Source organism: Homo sapiens, chromosome 1, assembly GCF_000001405.40.
Source record: "Homo sapiens chromosome 1, GRCh38.p14 Primary Assembly".
Lineage (NCBI taxonomy): Eukaryota > Metazoa > Chordata > Mammalia > Primates > Hominidae > Homo > Homo sapiens.
The window spans coordinates 24,903,909-24,921,456 of NC_000001.11; the positions used below are offsets into that span (position 1 = coordinate 24,903,909).

Sequence of the window (17,548 nt, forward strand, 5' to 3'; positions counted from 1 at the left end):
CAGGATTCAGTTAATTCACATCGAGTACTTAGAATGGCACTGGGCACAGAGCAGGGGTCCATGAGGCTTTGCAAGGCCACTGTGGCTGTGGTGTCTCTTACTCTGGGTACCCAGGAGAACTGGCTCATTCAGGGCCCTGCCAAGTTGAGGCCCTGGTGCAGGGCCTCCCTTCTACTCTGGCAGCCGGGGGAGGTGGATGAGCCCCCAGCAGTGGTCCAGAGGTGCAGTCTGTCCAGCCCAGCAACCCCTCTGTGTCACCCACCAAAGGATAAGGGCCGGTGCTAGCCGGAGTGGGCTCTGCCTGCCACGCCGAGGCTTGGCTGAGGACGGAGAGCTATGAGCCTGAGGTGTGTGTGACTTCGGCTGGGACTTGGAACTTCTCGGGGCTTTGGGGTCTTCCCAAGTCAGCTGGGGTATGTTTCCCTCAGCAGCGTACTCTGGCCCTGGGCGTGGATCCGAACGGAGTGATGCTCCTGGCTTAAGGTAAGAAGATGTGGGGACAGCAGTCTGGGTGGCGGGGGCCTTCTGGGACATCTGGGATGTTCCCTAGTAGGTCACTTGGCTGTCCCGGCCCCTTGAGGCCGAGAGCCTCCGAGGCACCTGGCTGCCAGTTTTCATCTGGGGAGCCCCTCGGGGGGAGAGGTCCTGTTGCAGGTGCTGGGCACGTCAGCACAGCTGAGATGGGTGGGGTGGAAGTGGGTGCTGGCCGCCTGATGGGAACCCCATTCTCAAGACGAAGGAAACAAATGGGGACCGCAGGATACAACGGCAGGACTGTGCCCCTCAGAGCTCACGCGGGCTGCAGGGCGCTGGGCTGGGCCTCCCTGGACCTGCCACCATCCCCTCCAGCCTCTTTCCTCAGGGCCACCACCCCTCCTCCGGGGTGGTGGGGGAAGTACCTGCCCTCAGCACTCCCTCAGACCCCCCAGCAGCTTCCTTGGAGCTCCTGTACCCCCACCCTGCGGCCTCGCAGCCCCAGGAAACCCGAGCTGCCCGGGGCACTGTCGAGTGGCCAATCCCAACAGTGGAAAGAAATGTTTATTTTCTTCTCCAGATTGTCCGGGCTGCTGCATGGTGGCTGAATGAGCCCTTTCAGCTGTGAGAAGCCCCCATTGTGGGCGGCTGCGGCTGGGGGCTGGGGCTGGGGTATGGGAGGTGCTGGGGTCTCTGCACTGCTTGCCAGTGACCAATATTGGAGGGTCAAAGCACTTAACAGGCACCGAGGGAAGTGGTGGTGGGGTGTCCCAAGGGGGATCCCCAGGAGGGAGTCCGAGGGCAGAGGGAGGAGGGCCTGTGAGAGTGACTTCCCAAGCCTAGGTCTGCCAGCAACCCCTCTTTGTCAGGGACCTCCTTCTCCCCACTTCACAGATGAGAAAACTGAGGCTGAGTTTAAGTGACTTGTCTAAGATCATACAGCCAATGCCTGGCAGAGCCTGAATTCCTAGCCTGGTCCAGCTGACTGCAGAGTTCATGCTCGCCCTGTCCTGGTCATCCGAGGCCCTTTCTCTCACCCAAAGGGGATGGGCCTGAGGATGGAGATGCCTGGCTGCCTGTGGCCCAGTGCTGTGGGGGGCTAGCGAGGGACTGGGCCAGGCCTCAGGAGGGAGCAGGCAGAGAAGCAGAAGTCAGCCACTGCCCCACACAGGCTGGGCTCCTTTCCTCCCAGCCCAGGATGGAAGCAGCAGCTGTGCCTGCCGTGGGGCCAGGCATTGATTCCCAAGCTGTGCCCACCCAGCAGTGGATGGGCAGATGTGGGCTCTCCTTCCATGGGGGCTGGTGGACAGGAAGCCACTGTTCACCCCACCTCCTGGATTCTGGCTCCCCCGCTGAGCCCCGATCCCCTGGCCTGGCTCTGTCCATGGCAGAGAAAGGCTGGCTCTCAGGCTACTGCACCTCGACAGATGCTGGCCCATGGGTAGCAGAAGCAGAGGCAGCTACGCGGCAGGGGTGGGCGTGAGCACAGCGTGCAGGGCTCCTTCCGCTACCTCTTGAGAGCAGACCTCCAACTCCTGGGCTCGAGAGCTGAGAGTCTCAAATGCACTAGCTCCTGGGCTCAGAGAGGCTGGGCCTGGGGCTTCTCCCAACCTTGGCGTCTCAGCAGGACCAAGGCCAAAAGTCCTGAGCCCAGGCCAGAAGGGGAGGGGTCCTCTCTTCACACTGAAGGCCTGCATCCAGCCCCTGGCTGCAGCACTATGCCTGGAACAATGTCAGTAGAGAGACCCAGTCGGCCCCCACCTCAGCGTGGCACCGGAAAAGGGGGTGGGGCAGGCAGACCGGTTGGCAGCCCTGTTCCAGGCCCCTTTATCTGTCCCCTCAGAAGTACAGAAAGTTCTTGGGAGCAGGTACTGTGGAGACTGTGGACCTGGTCACAGATGGGCTGTGTGACCCGAGGGTGGCTCTGAACCTCTTAGGCCTCTCAATTCATTCATCTGCCAAGGGGTTCTAACCAGGCTCTGGGGAATTGAGAAAGAATGGGCACAGTCCGTGACGGCAGCCAGCTGCCTGCCTCTGTCCACCCGGCCACCAAGCACCCTTGGCACCCCACTTAGCCCAAGGGCCGGCTGTGCACACAGCCTCCCATGTCCCCAGCTCACTGACTGAGAGAACAGAGGAGAGATGCAGCCGGCAGCCGTTTAGTGAGCGGCTACTATGCGCCAGGCACCTCGATACTCCAGAAGACCTGCCTGAGGCCTGGCTGCAACTGTGCTTGCTGTATCCGTCTAGGCAGTGGAGATGGAGACCCCAGCTCGGTCTTCCCTTCCACCTCAGCTCCTCCTGTTTGGGAGGATGCTCTGGGCAGGGTGGGAGACCTTTCCCAGGAATGCTATGTGCCTCTCTAGGGTTGGAATGTCACTTAACAGTGTGCAAAGTTTGTGTGAGTACAGTAATGTCATTTGAATGTCATCCCAGCCCTGGGTGGAGGCATCCGCCCCAATCCACTTTCAGATGAAAAATCGCAGGCTGTGGGGCAGGGGTGGGGAAACTGTACATGGCAGGGGCGAGTCTGTCACGGCTCCTTGGACAAGTCATGCCCCAATTTTAATAGGGGCACTATGGGGTTAACCCCATTTCCCCAGGCACAGTGAACTCCTGGTATGCAGATCCCTGGGGCCAGGCACCAGGCATGTGTCAGTAATGTCAGTGTTTGCTGAGTGAACGAATGATGGCTAGCACACAGAAAGCCCACAGGAACCGTCTGCAGGTGCCAATGAGCACCAGCAGCTCCTCTACAAAACAAGGGGGTGCAGTGACTGATCTTCGGACAGGCTTTTGGTCTGGGGCAGATTGGACCACATCGAGGCCCTCCACCCCCACCTCACCCCGCTGCAGCCCCTCCCTCCGTGCCGTACCTTGGATTGGGGTCTGGGGCTGGCTGCTGAAGTGGCTTGTGGTGCTGAGTGAGCCTCGGGGGCTGGGTGTGCTCGGTGTCACCCGCATGCGCAGCCGTTCCAGGTCCCCAAAGCGGTCAGGGAACGGCTTGGTCTGGTCCTCCAGCTTCTGCCGGTGCCCTGCAGAGCACAGGAAGCCCATCAGCCGTTGCTTCCCCAGAGTCTCAGTGGAGACAGAAATGCCTCACTCTGCTGGGAAGTTCTTCCTGAGGTCTGACCTTAGGCCTCTGCTGGGAGAACCCTGAGGTCACCGCCAGCCTCTTCACAGAGGTTTTCAAAAGACTTTCTGAACAGAGAATGGTCGTTATGTGCCACCCCACATATCTAAACCTCTACAACACACGGTGATCCAAACCTCTACAACACGCGGTGATCTAAACCTCTACAACACGCGGTGATCTAAACCTCTACAACACGCGGTGATCTAAACCTCTACAACACACTGTGATGTAAACCTCTACAACACGCGGTGATCTAAACCTCTACAACACACGGTGATCCAAACCTCTACAACACACGGTGATCTAAACCTCTACAACACACGGTGATCTAAACCTCTACAACACACTGTGATGTAAACCTCTACAACACGCGGTGATCTAAACCTCTACAACACACTGTGATGTAAACCTCTACAACACGCGGTGATCTAAACCTCAACCACACGCGGTGATCTAAACCTCTACAACACGCGGTGATCTAAACCTCTACAACACGCGGTGATCCGAACCTCAACCACACGCGGTGATCCGAACCTCTACGACACACGGTGATCCGAACCTCTACGACACGCGGTGATCCGAACCTCTACGACACGCGGTGATCCAAACCTCTATGACACGCGGTGATCCGAACCTCTACGACACGCGGTGATCCGAAGCTCTACGACACGCGGTGATCCGAACCTCTACGACACGCGGTGATCTGAACCTCTATGACACGCGGTGATCTGAACCTCTACGACACGCGGTGATCCAAACCTCTACGACATGTGGTGATCCAAACCTCTACGACACACGGTGATCCAAACCTCTACAACACACTGTTTGGCAGAAGAGGAAACTGAGGGCCAGGTGCAGTGGCTTACGCCTATAATCTCAGCACTTTGGGAGACTGAGATGGGAGGATCAGTTGAACCCAGGAGTTTGAGATCAGCCTGGGCAACTATCGAGACCCCTGTCTGTACAAAAATTAAAAAAAAAAAAGAAAAAAGAAAAACTTAGCCAGGTGGGGTGGCACAAGCCTGTAGTCCCAGCTACTGGGATGACTGAGGCAGGAGGATCACTTGAGCCCAGGAGGTGGAGGCTGCAGTGAGCTGATTGTACCACTGCATCCCAGTCTGGGCAACGGAACAAGGACCCTAGATCTAAAAAAAGGAAACTGAGGCAACAGACATGAGAAAGTGGCTCATGCCCCCAAGGGAGGCAGGGAGATAACCCAGGAGCACTGCCACCCTCTGCCTCCCAGCATCCCAGCCTGCCTTGCACACTGTCTCCCATGTCTACAAGAACAATGGGAGGTGGCCCCAGGAGGGGACTGCAGGCTTTTCCAGCCCTAAGTCACTCTGGGATCCCCAGAACATGCCTTCTTCTCTCTGGGCCTCAGGCAGAAAAATAACTCCACCAGGATGCTGGGCAGAGGTGTAGGGGGCTTGCATGAGGGACTAGACAGCCATCTCTGCCTGGAAGCTGGGGTCAGGGGACGAGATGTCACACCTGGAGAAAACTGCCAGCATTTTCCACTCCCTATCTGCCAGAGCCCACACAGGAAGAATCCCAGCCTCACATCCGAGGACTCAGAGGTGCTGGGAGGGTCAAGGTGGCCAGGCTCCCACCCTCCTGCGGCCTGCTGAGGCCGAGGGACACTTCTGGAGTGATATCAAGCTTGCAGGGACCTCCCCCGCCACACACACTTTTTTAATTACTAATTTTACATTTCACAAGCAACACGTGAATATTTACAAAAATAAAAGCATTACAGATAAGGCTCTGTCCACCGCTCTAAGCTCCTCTCCAGAGTCCCCACCGTGACCAGTTTCTTTCCAGACATTTTTCATCTTCCATGAATGGAAAACGCAAAGTAGGCTTCTCATGGAACTCTCTTGAACAGCCTCAGTCCGGGTGTGTCATTCTGTAACTTGCTTTCTTAGTAGCACACCTTGGAGCTCAAACTCAGTTTCCCTATCTGCAAAATGGGGACAGTAATCCAGCCCCACAGAAATGACGGAGTTCCCATAAAACCCTGGGGATCCTCCCTGCTACGGAAGGGATTCAACAAGCATGGCGAGAATGACGCTGCTCTCCCTCTTTCCTGCTGGCCACTGGAGGCACAGTTCACTCCGCAGTCCTCTCCACCCACATTTCAGTCCTTCTCAAGCTTCCCCTTTAGTTCCCTTACATGCAACACTCCCGGGAACGTCCCTGTTCGCACCCCCTAGTGGCTGCAGCTTCTCCAGGGCTGACCCGAGGAAAGGACGGCTCCCTTGGAGGACTGTGCACTCCAGGGTTCGGCTGATCAACCCTAACACGGTCACGGCCATTCTACCTCACGTGACTTGGTGGGAGGCTGCCAGTCAGGCAGGGTGGCCAGGCCCTCTTTTACAAGTAAGAGAACTGCAACTGCGGAGAGGCGAGGAAGCTTGTTGGAGGCCACACGCCGAACAAGGGGTGGGATTTCCTGGACCTGGGACCCTTTAGAAAAGATGGAGGCTAGGCATGGTGGCTACGCCTGTAATCCCAGCGCTTTGGGAAGCCGAGGCGGGCGGATCACCTGAGTGAGGTCAGGAGTTTGAAACCAGCCTGACCAATATGGTGAAACCCCGTCTCTACTAAAAGTACAAAAATTAGCCGGGCGTGGTGGCGGGCGCCTATGATCCCAACTACTTGGGAGGCTGAGGCAGGAGAATCGCTTGAACCCGGGAGGCGGAGGTTGCAGTGAGCCAAGATCACACCACTGCACTCCAGCCTAGGTGACAGAGCAAGATTCCATCTCAAAAAAAAAAAAAAAAAAAAATGTGGGAGGGGGTAAGGGGGAGGAGAAGGTTTGCCTAAGGCCTTGGGTCTAGAATGACATGTGCGTTTTCTAGTTTGGCAGAGGGAGAAGAGGCAAGATGTAGGTGGGAGGTAAAACAGAACTCACTGCGCTTCTTGGGGCCTGAACAAGTGATTGCTGGGGACTCGAAAAGTGGGAAAAGCCTGTCGACCACTGTAGGGCATGAGGGGACAGAGCCCGAGGCCTCGCATGGGCCTGATTTCTGATTTTCAGAATGGGAACGCAATGGATTCTGGTACTTGTAGGCCCCCAAGCTCCCTACGCATCCCTGTTGGAAGCTCAAACAGGTATCTGGGAGCCTCAGAAAGAAAGCAGGGGGCCTGGGAGCCACAGGGGCTCAGCCAGTCACCAAGAACCAGGGAGCCCCACCTTCTCCTCCAATGAGGCCCCAGACCAGGAATCCATGGGACACTTGGTGGCAGGAATAAGACCATTTGGTCTCTGGCCAGGCCCCCACTGCTGCCTCCCAGGGCCCTTGGCAACAAAGGGGAAAACATGGGCTGGGGGCGAGTTTAGCTGGAGCTGGGGCTGCAAACTCAGATGCCCATGGGGATGGGGCAAGTCACGTGAACGAGGCAAGTGGGATGGGTGGGGCCTGGAGCGGATGGGGAGGAGATGCCTTGTGGAAAGCACCTGACTGCTACCCTGAGGAGGGCAGGCCCAGTACGGCCAGAGCTTCCAATTCCAGACCGAGTCCTCAGCCCTAACAGGCCTTGGAGGAAATGTTGTCCTTGCTCCTGAGGCCACTGGAAATGGCAGGGAGATGTGGATGAGCTGGGGGACAAGTGAGCAGAAGAATCTTAACAGGCATGAAGCCTGCCGGGTGGACGTGGGGACCACAGACTGATCCGACAACAGCCTGAGTGCAAAGGATCTGGGTGTTTTAGTCAGCCACAAGCTTGAAGGGAGCCAATAGGGCTGGTGCAAAACCTCAGGCCTTGTTACTTTCGTCACAGGAGAATAAAGTCCCCTGTTTCTGAGTCACACCATGTACAAAGAGTGTTTACAGTTACTCCTGCGGCCTGGCGGAAGAGGGCGGGGTTGACAGCCAGCCTGGGTTCGAGGACGGGTCCTGTCACTTGCAGTCTGGTGGCCTCACTCAAGTCACACTCCTTTCCCCCACCCCGAGCTGCGGTGTCCCCATCACACTGTCTTTGTGGGTTGAGGTGCTGGCCTAAGGTGTGGACACTTTCCAGTCACGTGGGTCACCACCATCATGACCATCGCTTTTATCTCTGCTCATGCCCAAAGGAAGCAGAACTATCATCCCCATGCTGGAGACCGGGGTGTGGAGGCCAGGATGCTGAAGTCGTGTGAGGAACACAGAGCCTGAGCAGCAAGGCAGGATTCACACCCGGATCCCCCGACTCCAAGCCCAGGGCTCTTTTCCTGACACTTTCCCTTTTGTTCCCATTGTTTAGACGGGGCCACCGAGGCTTCACCATGAGACCGACGCTGAGCGCCTGTTCCGGGACCCAGGCTGTGGGTCAGGTAATCTGACCCCGGAACCCACGCTCCCACCACATGCTCCCTTGCCCTCCGTAGGGCAGACTTCCCGGAGGAGGGGAGTCCAACAGCACTTCGGAAATAGCTTCCTTGTTACTGTGGAACGCTGGAGCCACTGCCAGGGAGGGGAGAGGGGAGCCAAGGCGGCCCCACGTGGCCAGGGCGCCAGAGAGTCTCAGAGCCACAGGGCCAGGGCTCTCACACTGGGAATAGGACAGAAGTTCCAGTGCCTGAGGAAAGAAGATGGTCTTCAGAAAAAGCCTCTTTCATTCGGTTACCCAGAGCAAGAGCTGCGTGGGGAGCTCTGGCTCTAACCCACTCCGTCACCTTGGGCCCAGTCCTGCTACGCCTCAGTTTCCCCTCTGCACAGTCTGCTCACTGAGGCCCCTTCCTTTTGAAAGTCCCTGATTTAAGGTAGCAAAGATCAGCCGCTGGTCAGAGGGGCCCCAGAAAGAAAAGAAGGCAGGGCTGCTGGCCCCAGGGCCCACCCACTACCACTTCTTCCTGCTGCTGCTGTTCCCAGTATTTCTTGAATATTCTCTGCCCCCCACTCTTCAGAGCCTCAGCTCAGGACAGCCTCTGCCAGCAATGCTTTCTGTCCTGTGAAGCCCAGTCCAGGAGCCCCTCCTCCAGGAAGCCCCCCTTCTCCCACAGTAGATCCCCATCACACCTCTGCAGGCTAGGGCTGTCCTTTAAAGCAGTCGCCAGCAGGAGTGGAAATCATCAAAACGGCAGCAGATGCTTGCTGGGTGCTTCCTCCACGGCAGCGTCTAAGCAGCTGACAAGCACCATCTTGTTTCGCCTGGCAGCATCCCCTTGAGTAATGTCTGCCACCATCCTATCATATGGGTGAAAAAACTGAGGCTCTGGACAGCCAGTGAGCTCAAGGTCAAGCAGAAGACACACAGCCACCTGCTCTCCCTAGAGCCTGTGAAAACACATCTATTGTGGCGGAAGAGGGCGGGGTTCACAGCCAGCCTGGGTTCGATACATCAATAGATGTATCGGGACTCCACAATAGATGTTAGGGCCCCGTCCAGCCCCAGGCCCAGAGCTGCTATCTGCAGGCCCAGGAGGATAGGACTTGGGAGAGGAAGATGAGAAGGTCTCAGTGGACTCCACCAGGGGCCCTTCCCTGCTCTGAAGCTCAGGGTTGAGAGTGCAATTTCCAATCATACCCTGCTCTAGACCACCAAGTCACTCTCTGCCTCTGGGCCACAGTTTCCACATCTGTAAAGTGGTTATCATACTGTCTAACCCCTGAGGGTGCCGATGAGCTGGAGGACAGGCCACATGCTTTTAAAAGCAGAGGACTGAGATGGCTGGGGAAAGCCCCGCGTTGGCCCTCAGGGCCTGTCCTGGCTGCTGTCAGCCTCCAGCTGCTGGGCTCAGATCAGACAGCTCCTCCAGCATGGCCTGGATTAGTGTCTATGACCCTCACTTATGGGAGGGCAGATCCCAGCCTGCCCCTCCCAAGGGCCCAGTGGCCCCAAGCTCATACCAGGCAGCTCTCACCCACCAGTGGTCACTGTCTTGGGCAAGCCACTCTTGCCTTCTGGGCCTCAGCTGTCTTATCTGCAAAATGGGGATCACACCTCTAACCCCCGAGGGTCAGGAAAGGTTTCAAGAATTACACAGCCCACCAGGCCTTGGCCTTTGAGGAAGGTGTTCTGGGTTCCCATTCTGACTTGGCCATCTGCTCCTAGGCAAACAGCTCCTCTCTGATGCGTCTGTGCAGTGGGGGTGACCCACCTCACAGGCATATGATAAAGGCCAAAGTGGGAGCAGGAATGCTGGGCCCCAGCCAGTCTGGGGACTCACCAGGGTCACGCAGTGTGGGAGCTAGAGGACCAGGGCTGGATTCTGGGTTGGCAGCTCCTTTACCACTGTCCCCAGGGAATCCTTCCCCACCACCAGCCTGGCCAGCCTGGGGTCCTACCCCCGCCAGGTACCTGATGCTTCTGGGGGAACCAAGAGACCATCAGGGTTACCCCCTTGCCTCCATGCAGGCCCAACACAAGCCCCTGTCATAGGAGTGGCAACCATTTTAGCAGGCATCCATGATGTGCCGGGCACTGTGCAAGGGGGGCCATGCATGTCGTCTCCAAGGGTCATATCCCTCTGACAGGCTGTGACTATCACCCCCGTTTTACAGATGGAAAAGTGGAGGCACACGGTCAAGGTCACACGGTGTGTGGCACCCCTGAGATTCAAACCTGGAAAGGTCACACATGGAGCTCAGCTGCTAAGGTCATCGCTTCCCAAGACCTCCATGAGAGAAGAGCTGGGTCACCTGGCCGTAAGGTCCAGCTGGCAAGAGGCCAGCTCAGTGTTCAGCCTCTTGGGAAAAGCAGAGTCGGGCAGGGCCACAGGAACAGCATCGTCTGCTGGGGACAGTGTGGGCTCCAATGACCAGGCCCGTCACCCATCTGAAGCCACTCGGCAGCCTTCTTGGCCGCCTGGTGCGGCTGTGACCCAGACACAGCAGCCACTGTCTACCCAGCAGCAGGGTGGGGCGCCGGGCCCGAGGCCGGCTCTGCGGCCTGTCAGGAGATTTACACCCGACTCTTAACAGCCTCGCGGAATCGCAGGCGGGTGCCGGGCCTGGGGTGGTCTGCTGTGAATCGGCCCCCTGTGAGCAGATGAAAGCCGGGTCGGTGGCTGGGCAGGGAAACGGGCTGGCCGGGGGCCAGCGGGCAGGGAGGCGAGCGGTTCCCTCCCAGGGCTGCAAGTGGGGCTTCCAGAGGCCTGGGGTTGATTAGGAGAACCCAGGAGGTCTGTGGTTAACCCCTTCCCTCCTGCTGGGCAGACTCCGCTAGCCCTGCCCCTAGCGCAGGAGACACTCCTGGGGGTTGTGGGGATCTTGGGAGCCAGGGACCTGGAGCAGCTGCCTCTCCTCAGCCCAGGAAGAAACTACAGAAACTCTAAGGCCTTCAAAGGCCCAACTGCGGGCTCAGGGTCACTTCTCCTGCCCACGCCAAACCCTCGGCAGCCACACTCTGCTGGCTGCTCACTTCAGGCCCCTGCTCAAAGGTCACCTCTTCAGGAGGCCTCCCCGCCCCATCCCTTGTTCCATCCCTTGCACGCTCCACTCCTTCTCCCAGCTTTGTTTTTCTTCATAGGACTTCCTACTACCCGAAATGACATTAATGAATCATTTGCTTATTCATCAACGATTTATGGAGCAGCTGTGAAGGGCTCCTGCCCACATTCTCAGGGTCTAGCTATACCAGGGCCTGGCAAACCAGAGCAAAGAACTCTGCCCTTGTAGAGCATAAACAACAGGGGGCCGGGTGCGGTGGCTCACGCCTGTAGTCCCAGCACTTTGGGAGGCTGAGGTGGGCGGATCACTTGAGGTCGGGAGTTCAAGACTAGCCTGGCCAACATGGTGAAACCCTGTCTCTATTAAAAATACAAAAATTAGCTGGGTGTGGTGGCGTGTGCCTGTAATCCCAGCTCCTAGGGAGGCTGAGGCAAGAGAATCTCCTGAACCTGGGAGGCGGAGGTTGCTGTGAGCCGAGATCTTGCCACTGCACTCCAGCCTGGGCAACAGAGCAAGACTCCATCTCAAAAAACAAAACAAAACAAAATGGGAGAAATGAATAACAAATGAAACAAACTATCGGACTAGATAGCACCTTAGAAGGTGGTAGTGGTAAGTGCTCGGGGTAACCTTAAAGCCAGGAAGGAAAAGGGGGAGAGGTGAGGAAGGCTGTGTGTGTGCCACTTGAAACAGGCGGGCTGCTGAGAAGTGCAGAGGCTTTAGGGTGTGAAGGAGTGTGCCATGCATCTGGGGGTGTCCGGGGAGGAGTGTTCCAGATAGAAAAAAGAGCAGTGCAAAGGCCCCCGAGGCAGGAGTGTCCCTGGCAAGTTCAAAGACCAGCCAGGATACCAGGGTGGCCAGAGCAGGATGTGGGAGGGAGGGCAGGGGGTAACGGGCACAGGCTAGGGGGGCGTGAGGGCCTTTCCCCCACCGTGGTCCATGCCAGACTTGCCAGGTGTCACCGCCCCTCCTGCTGGGATCCTGGACCTGGCTCAGCAACCTGCTTCTTAACCAGCCCCCAGTGACTCTGAGGGACACCAGCACTGAGAACCTCAGAAACCGAGGCCACACAGGCAGGAAGCCACCAAGCCAGCCTTCAAACCCAGCTGGCCACCTGGCTGCAGGCCGGGCACGCTCTGCAGGGCACCAGAGGGGAACGACCCGGCCACAGAACCCACAGCCGGCCTCAGGGATCTACAGATTCCCAGTCCTTGGCTCCCAGGACCAGCCCCTACTCCCACTTCACCCCACAGCGGGCTCAGATTTCAGAGGGTCGGAGGTGGCAAAACAGGAAAAAAGCCGGGAAAGGAAGTCCAGGAGCACAAAAGGCCTGTAACAACCTGTGAAGGTTGTGGGGGCACTTCCTGGGGCCAGGCCCCGGTAAACTCAGTCAACCTTCACAGCGACTCCCCTAGGCAGACACCAATACCATCCATTTGACAGCTGAGCACACTGAGGTGAAAAGGCCCTTCCAAGTGGCCCTCACTTCCCGCAGCCCCCGGGTCGGAGCCCCCAGGGTGTGCTGACAGTCACCTTGGGCAAAAGGTTTTGCGCCCTGGCCTCTATCCTCTCCTGGGGTTGCCCAAGAGATCAGTTACTGGGGACTTTGCACAGGGCCTGACGCAAGGGAGGGGGTTGCTCAGTGACCAGGAGCCGCTGAGCTGGTCCCTTCACTCTTACAGATGGGGACGCTGAGGACCCGAAAGGCCAAGGATTTGTCCAGGGCCAAAGACAAAGGAGTGGGGCTGCAACCCAGGGTATGGGGGGGGACCTGATCTCAGGGCCAGGATATGCCAGGGACAGGAACAGGCAGGTCCTAAGGATGGGGGACCTAGTAGACTGCCCCCCGACTCCATCTCTGCTCTGTTCTGTAAATAAAACCACTGATCCAGCCGCTGCCGGGGCCCAGAGAGGGAGGTCACCTGTCTCAGGTGGTGCAGCAAGCCTGGCTTCTGACGCCGTGGGTCTCCAGGCCCAGCCTCTGTCCCTCCCTCTTGTTGCCTCGTCCTGAGCCACGCATTTACCTTCCAGCTCACCCCAGAAGGGGCCATCTCAGGTCTGGGAGACCCAGGCAGGGAAGAGCAGGCAGGGGATTCTGCTGGAATCTCCCACAGGCAGGGCTGAGTCTCCATGCTCATCCAGGGGTCCCAGCAGGGCAGAGTGGGCGGCTCTGGGGTGGGCTGGGCTGAGCATGGAGGGCTCTCAGAGGGGCCAACCTTGCCCGGTCCCTTGGATCTTCCCACCAAGCGTCAAGACCCCGTCCCGTGCCTCCCTCTTTCTGGAGTGGCTCCCCTCTTTCTGGAGTGGCTTCTGAGTGCCGCATCCCCACCCAGAGCCCAACTGAGGCTCCTGTCCATGCTGACCCTGCCCCTGGAGACATAGGGCAGGGCTGCCACCTCCTTCAATGGAGACTTGATACCTGCACCTCTATTACCAAGGCAGCCACCCAGCTGCTGCCCATGAGAGAGCTCACCGTTGACTAATGGTGGTGGTGGGAGTGCAGGAAGGGGGCTGGGTACTGAGGACGACAAAACGCTGCGGACCCAGTGACTCATGGGACCCCTCTGTGCTACGGCCACGTGCTGTCCACATGTCGCCCCTGATCTCCAGGTCCGCAGGGTGGGTGGCATCATCACACTTCATGGAGGAGGGAGCTGAGGCCCAGAGAGGTCAGTGACTTGCCCTAGGTCACACTGCAGATAACAGCCCTGGCTAAAGTGACGGATCCCTTGCTAACCCCCACCGCTAAGTGCTTTCTATAGATTAAGCCACTGTTTCCTCGCAATAGCATCATGAGGTAGCTGCTTGTGCGAATATCATTTTTCAGTTCAGGAAACTGAGGCACGGAGATGACTAGCCCAAGGACCCACAGCCAGGAAGGCTGGCTTGGAAACTGCTCTCTACACCATGGTGGTCTATGGCTCATGAGGGCTTCCCAGCCATCACCACCTTGAGACTCCTGGAGTCACTGATCCAGTTCTCAGATGACAAAACTGAGGCCACAAAGAAGACATGACTTGCCTAGGGTCATGAAGCCCAAGGCCAAGGGCATGGGCTGGTCTATGTCTGATCTCAGCAGGAGGGAACCAGCAGGAGTGTGGCCAGGGCAAGTGCTGGCTGGGAGCTGACGGTGCAGGCCTGAGGATGCGTGCCGGGGCTCAGGGCTGGCAGAGGTGACCCTGAGAGCCCTGGAGGGAAACTCTTCCAGGGCTGCTGGACTCAGCTCCAAGCCTTTCCCAAGTGGCCAGATGCTGGGATGGGCCCAGGAATTGGATGATGGGGTGTCAGGCCCAGCTGACTCCCAAGAAGGGAGGGGCCAGCCCAGGGCTAGGCCTCCTGCCCCAGGCCTCCTGCCCCAGGCCTGCTCAGCCTAGAATCTTGCCTCTGGGAAGACTGAAGCCTGGGGCGCCTTCCTGCTCCTTGCACAGCATTAGGTCCTATTCAGGTACCCAACTCCCTCAGGCCTGGATTCTCTCCTCACTGGAACTTGGGTGACCCCTCTGGCTCTGCTGTCATCAAGATCCCATTCAATAGTGACTGCTAAAAGGTCTTCTAAACTACAAAGGGTCACATTTCTGAGAAAGAGAGGGGTGGGCCAACCTTCAGTGCACCAAGCTGAAAATGCCTTGGGGAGGTGGGATGGAGCTCAGGAAGCTGGCTGGCTCTATTTCATTCATTCATTCATTCATTCAGTCAGTCAGTCAGTCAGTCATTCATTCATTCTGTGGACACAGAGCCTCAGCCTACCCTCCCACTTCCCCAGCCTTAATCTGACCTTCAGCAAGCAGAGAGAATTAAACACAAACTCGCTTTGATGGACCAGAACTCCCTGCTCATAGGGTCTGGGTGCCCGGACTCTGGGTGACCTGAGCAAGTCACATGCTAAGATTCAAAGACTCAGTTTCCAAGGAAGAGGCCTGGCCTCACAGCCAGACCAGCCCCTGACTTTTGATCACTCCTGCCCTCCATGCATCCCTCAGCCACCCGCAGAGAAGCTGGGGGCAGAGTAAAGCAAGCCTGGCTCAACCTCCACCCAGAAACACACAAGCACCCGACAAATGCCATATCTGAAAGCTTTCTCCATCCTTTTCCTTTCCTTGACTCCCTCAGTAGTCTCCATGGACAGTCATCTCCACTCCCAGCCTCCTCGCTGGCCTCCCACGGTCTCAGGCTAAGCCCAGAGGGTTTAGGGGTTTGCCAGCAGGCACGCAGTGTGTGGGGGCACAGAGCCAAGGACTGCAACCCCCCGAGGAGGGCTCCATCTGTCTGACCTAGCTGCTGTCCTTCCCGCACTGGACCCTCCTCCCCCGCGCAGGGGCTCAGGGGGCTCGGTGGCACTTACGTCTGGGCTCCCGGGGTCCGTCCACGGTCACCTTGATGGCTCGGTGGTAGGTCGCCACTTGGGTGGGGTTGGTGAACACAGTGATGGTCAGGGTGAAACTCTTCCCTGGGGAGAGTGGGGAATAGAGGCAGGTGGTTGGCACCTGGAGCTTCCACAATACCCTGCTCTCCCACCTGTATCTACCCCTGGAAGCCCCTAACTGTCAAGAAGGGGCACTCTGTCCTCTTTGAACATGGGCAGAAGATAGGGCTCTGGGTGAAGTTCAAGCTCTTGGGCTTGGCATTCAAGGCCCCTGGGGGTCTGACGCCAACTTTGTCAACCCCCCGCCCCATGCCGTGACCACCCTGGCTCATGTTCCCCTCTTCTTGGCCTTTCTGCTGTCTCTTCTATTCAGAGACCCACACGATTTTGTGGTGGGGAGCAGGATGGGTATATTCTATTTTCTGAAAGTAATTGGTGATCTTTGTAGAAAAATTCAAGAACATACAAAATATAAATAAAGAAGAAAAGACACCCCCCCCCCACGGTTCCACTAGCTGGAGATAGACACCGTTACCATTTGGTGTTTTCCCTTTCAGCTCTTTTTGTATGGGTTTGTATATTTACACAGTCGCAGTGGTACTAAAATACAGATTTTCATACTGTTTTTTTTTTCATTTAACCTCACATCAGAAGCACTTTCCCACGTCATTAAAACTCCATAAACTTCGTTTTTAATGGCTGCAAAATATTTCAACTCAAGGAAGCCTCCTCATCTTTTATTTATCTACCTCCTTACTCTCGGGTATTTACATCGTTGCTAATTTCTTATTGATGTGTGCAGCTGGAGCTGAAAAAGGACTGATTTGGGAGCTGCAGACATTTCTTCTGTAGACACAACTGTTATTTCCAGAATGTTCTATTTTTAGATAGACATTTGGCTCCAAAGTCTCCATTCAAAATTCCTGAGAGGGGAAAAAACTTTTAAAATACTACTTTTTTTTTTTTTTACCATTTAAAATAAAATGAAAGTGACCTTCTGTTTATAAAAATCTTTGTCTGCATCTCTGCTTATTTCCTTAGAAGAGATTCCAAGAAGCGGTGAGTGATTTCACGGCAGCAGAGGGTTGGGACATATTACGGGCGCGGATCCCTCTTGGAGTGAGATGACTCTCCGGAGAGATTTAGTCGTCACCCTCGCGTGTGAGGCTGCGTCACACCCCAGGGATGTGTCTATCAAGATGGAAGATCTTTTACACGCTCTTGATTTTGTTTGCCTTTTTTTCTATTACTAGTGAGAATGAAACTTTTTATATGATTATTATCCATCATAATCCAACACAAATTACTGCTTCATGTTCTTTTACTTTCCTGTGAAGGTTTTAGTGCCTTTTAAAAATTGCTATATATTAAGCTTGTTAATACTTTCCATGCTGTATTTGTGGCCATCAGTTTCCCCGGGCACAGGCCTGCACATTTTGCCTTCACACGCTGGGTGGTTTTTCATTTTCACTTCTATTTCTCGTTCTTCTATCGTTTTATGTTCAGACGGGTTTCTCCGTGTAGAAAGCAGTTTATGAAGATTTACTTTCGACAGTCTTCTCTCTACTTTCTACAGTGAATTCTCTGATGTGTCTGGGAGTTTGGGGGTCTGGGTAAGAGTCCTCCTCTCACCCTATTCTCTATTACGATCCACAGCCTCATGCTTTATGAGATTGGTGGCCGGGAGCGGGGGAGATTTGCGGATCCCCCAAGCCAGACTTTATCCCCCTATCCCTGCCTCTGGATCCCACGTACAGGCCTGGGAACTCCCTGTGGGTAGGGGCCAATGGTCTCGCACTCTCACCTGTACCCCAGGGCTGGCACAGGATGGTCAAGGAGAGAGGCTGCCCAAGCGCATCCCTCTGGTGTCCCCCTGACACGCCTCCAAAGTGAGCAGGTAGGTTTCAACAGCCCCACGTTGCAGGTGGGAGATGAAGCTCAGGGTGGAGACCAGTATCTCACAGTTCTCTTTGCATGGCCGGGTACTTGTTAGTCAACTGATCAAGTGAAAATTCTAGCCCCAGAGGCAGGAGAATCCGGAACAAAATTAAACCAGCCAGGCTGCCAGGAGCCATGCCACAGGACCCAAGGCCCTCTGAGACACCAGGGGGAATTTAAAGCTCAAGACCCACTGAGTGTCACTCCAGCTGGGAAATGAGGGGCTTCTCTGGAAGCCTTTTCCTAAGCCAGTCGGCT

The 17,548-nt window shown here is 56.4% G+C and overlaps 1 protein-coding gene and 1 non-coding gene across 7 annotated transcripts in view, besides 1 other annotated feature; both read right to left on the bottom strand.

The window, feature by feature from the left end:
* Nucleotides 1–17,548, bottom strand: part of RUNX3 (RUNX family transcription factor 3) — a 65,628-nt gene that overhangs the window by 4,398 nt on the left and 43,682 nt on the right. For 5 of the 6 annotated variants that reach the window (XM_005246024.5, XM_047433131.1, NM_001320672.1 and 2 more), the window contains 2 exons: nt 15,332–15,436; nt 3,351–3,509 (listed from right to left, as the gene is read on the bottom strand). In XM_005246024.5, the coding sequence (XP_005246081.1) occupies nt 3,351–3,509; nt 15,332–15,436 (264 nt within the window). The remainder of the gene's footprint in view (nt 1–3,350; nt 3,510–15,331; nt 15,437–17,548) is intronic. The other variant, XM_011542351.2, reaches the window with a different exon arrangement.
* Nucleotides 10,572–11,087: an enhancer, noted in NCBI's record as "H3K27ac-H3K4me1 hESC enhancer chr1:25240971-25241486 (GRCh37/hg19 assembly coordinates)". NCBI's record gives its function as "activates a minimal SCP1, AML or CMV promoter by ChIP-STARR-seq in naive H9 embryonic stem cells {active_cell/tissue: H9 hESC(naive)}" and the evidence as "EXISTENCE:reporter gene assay evidence [ECO:0000049][PMID:30033119]".
* MIR6731 (microRNA 6731) lies at nt 15,437–15,508 on the bottom strand. The gene has a single exon (NR_106789.1). It is a non-coding gene; the product is annotated as a microRNA 6731 (primary transcript).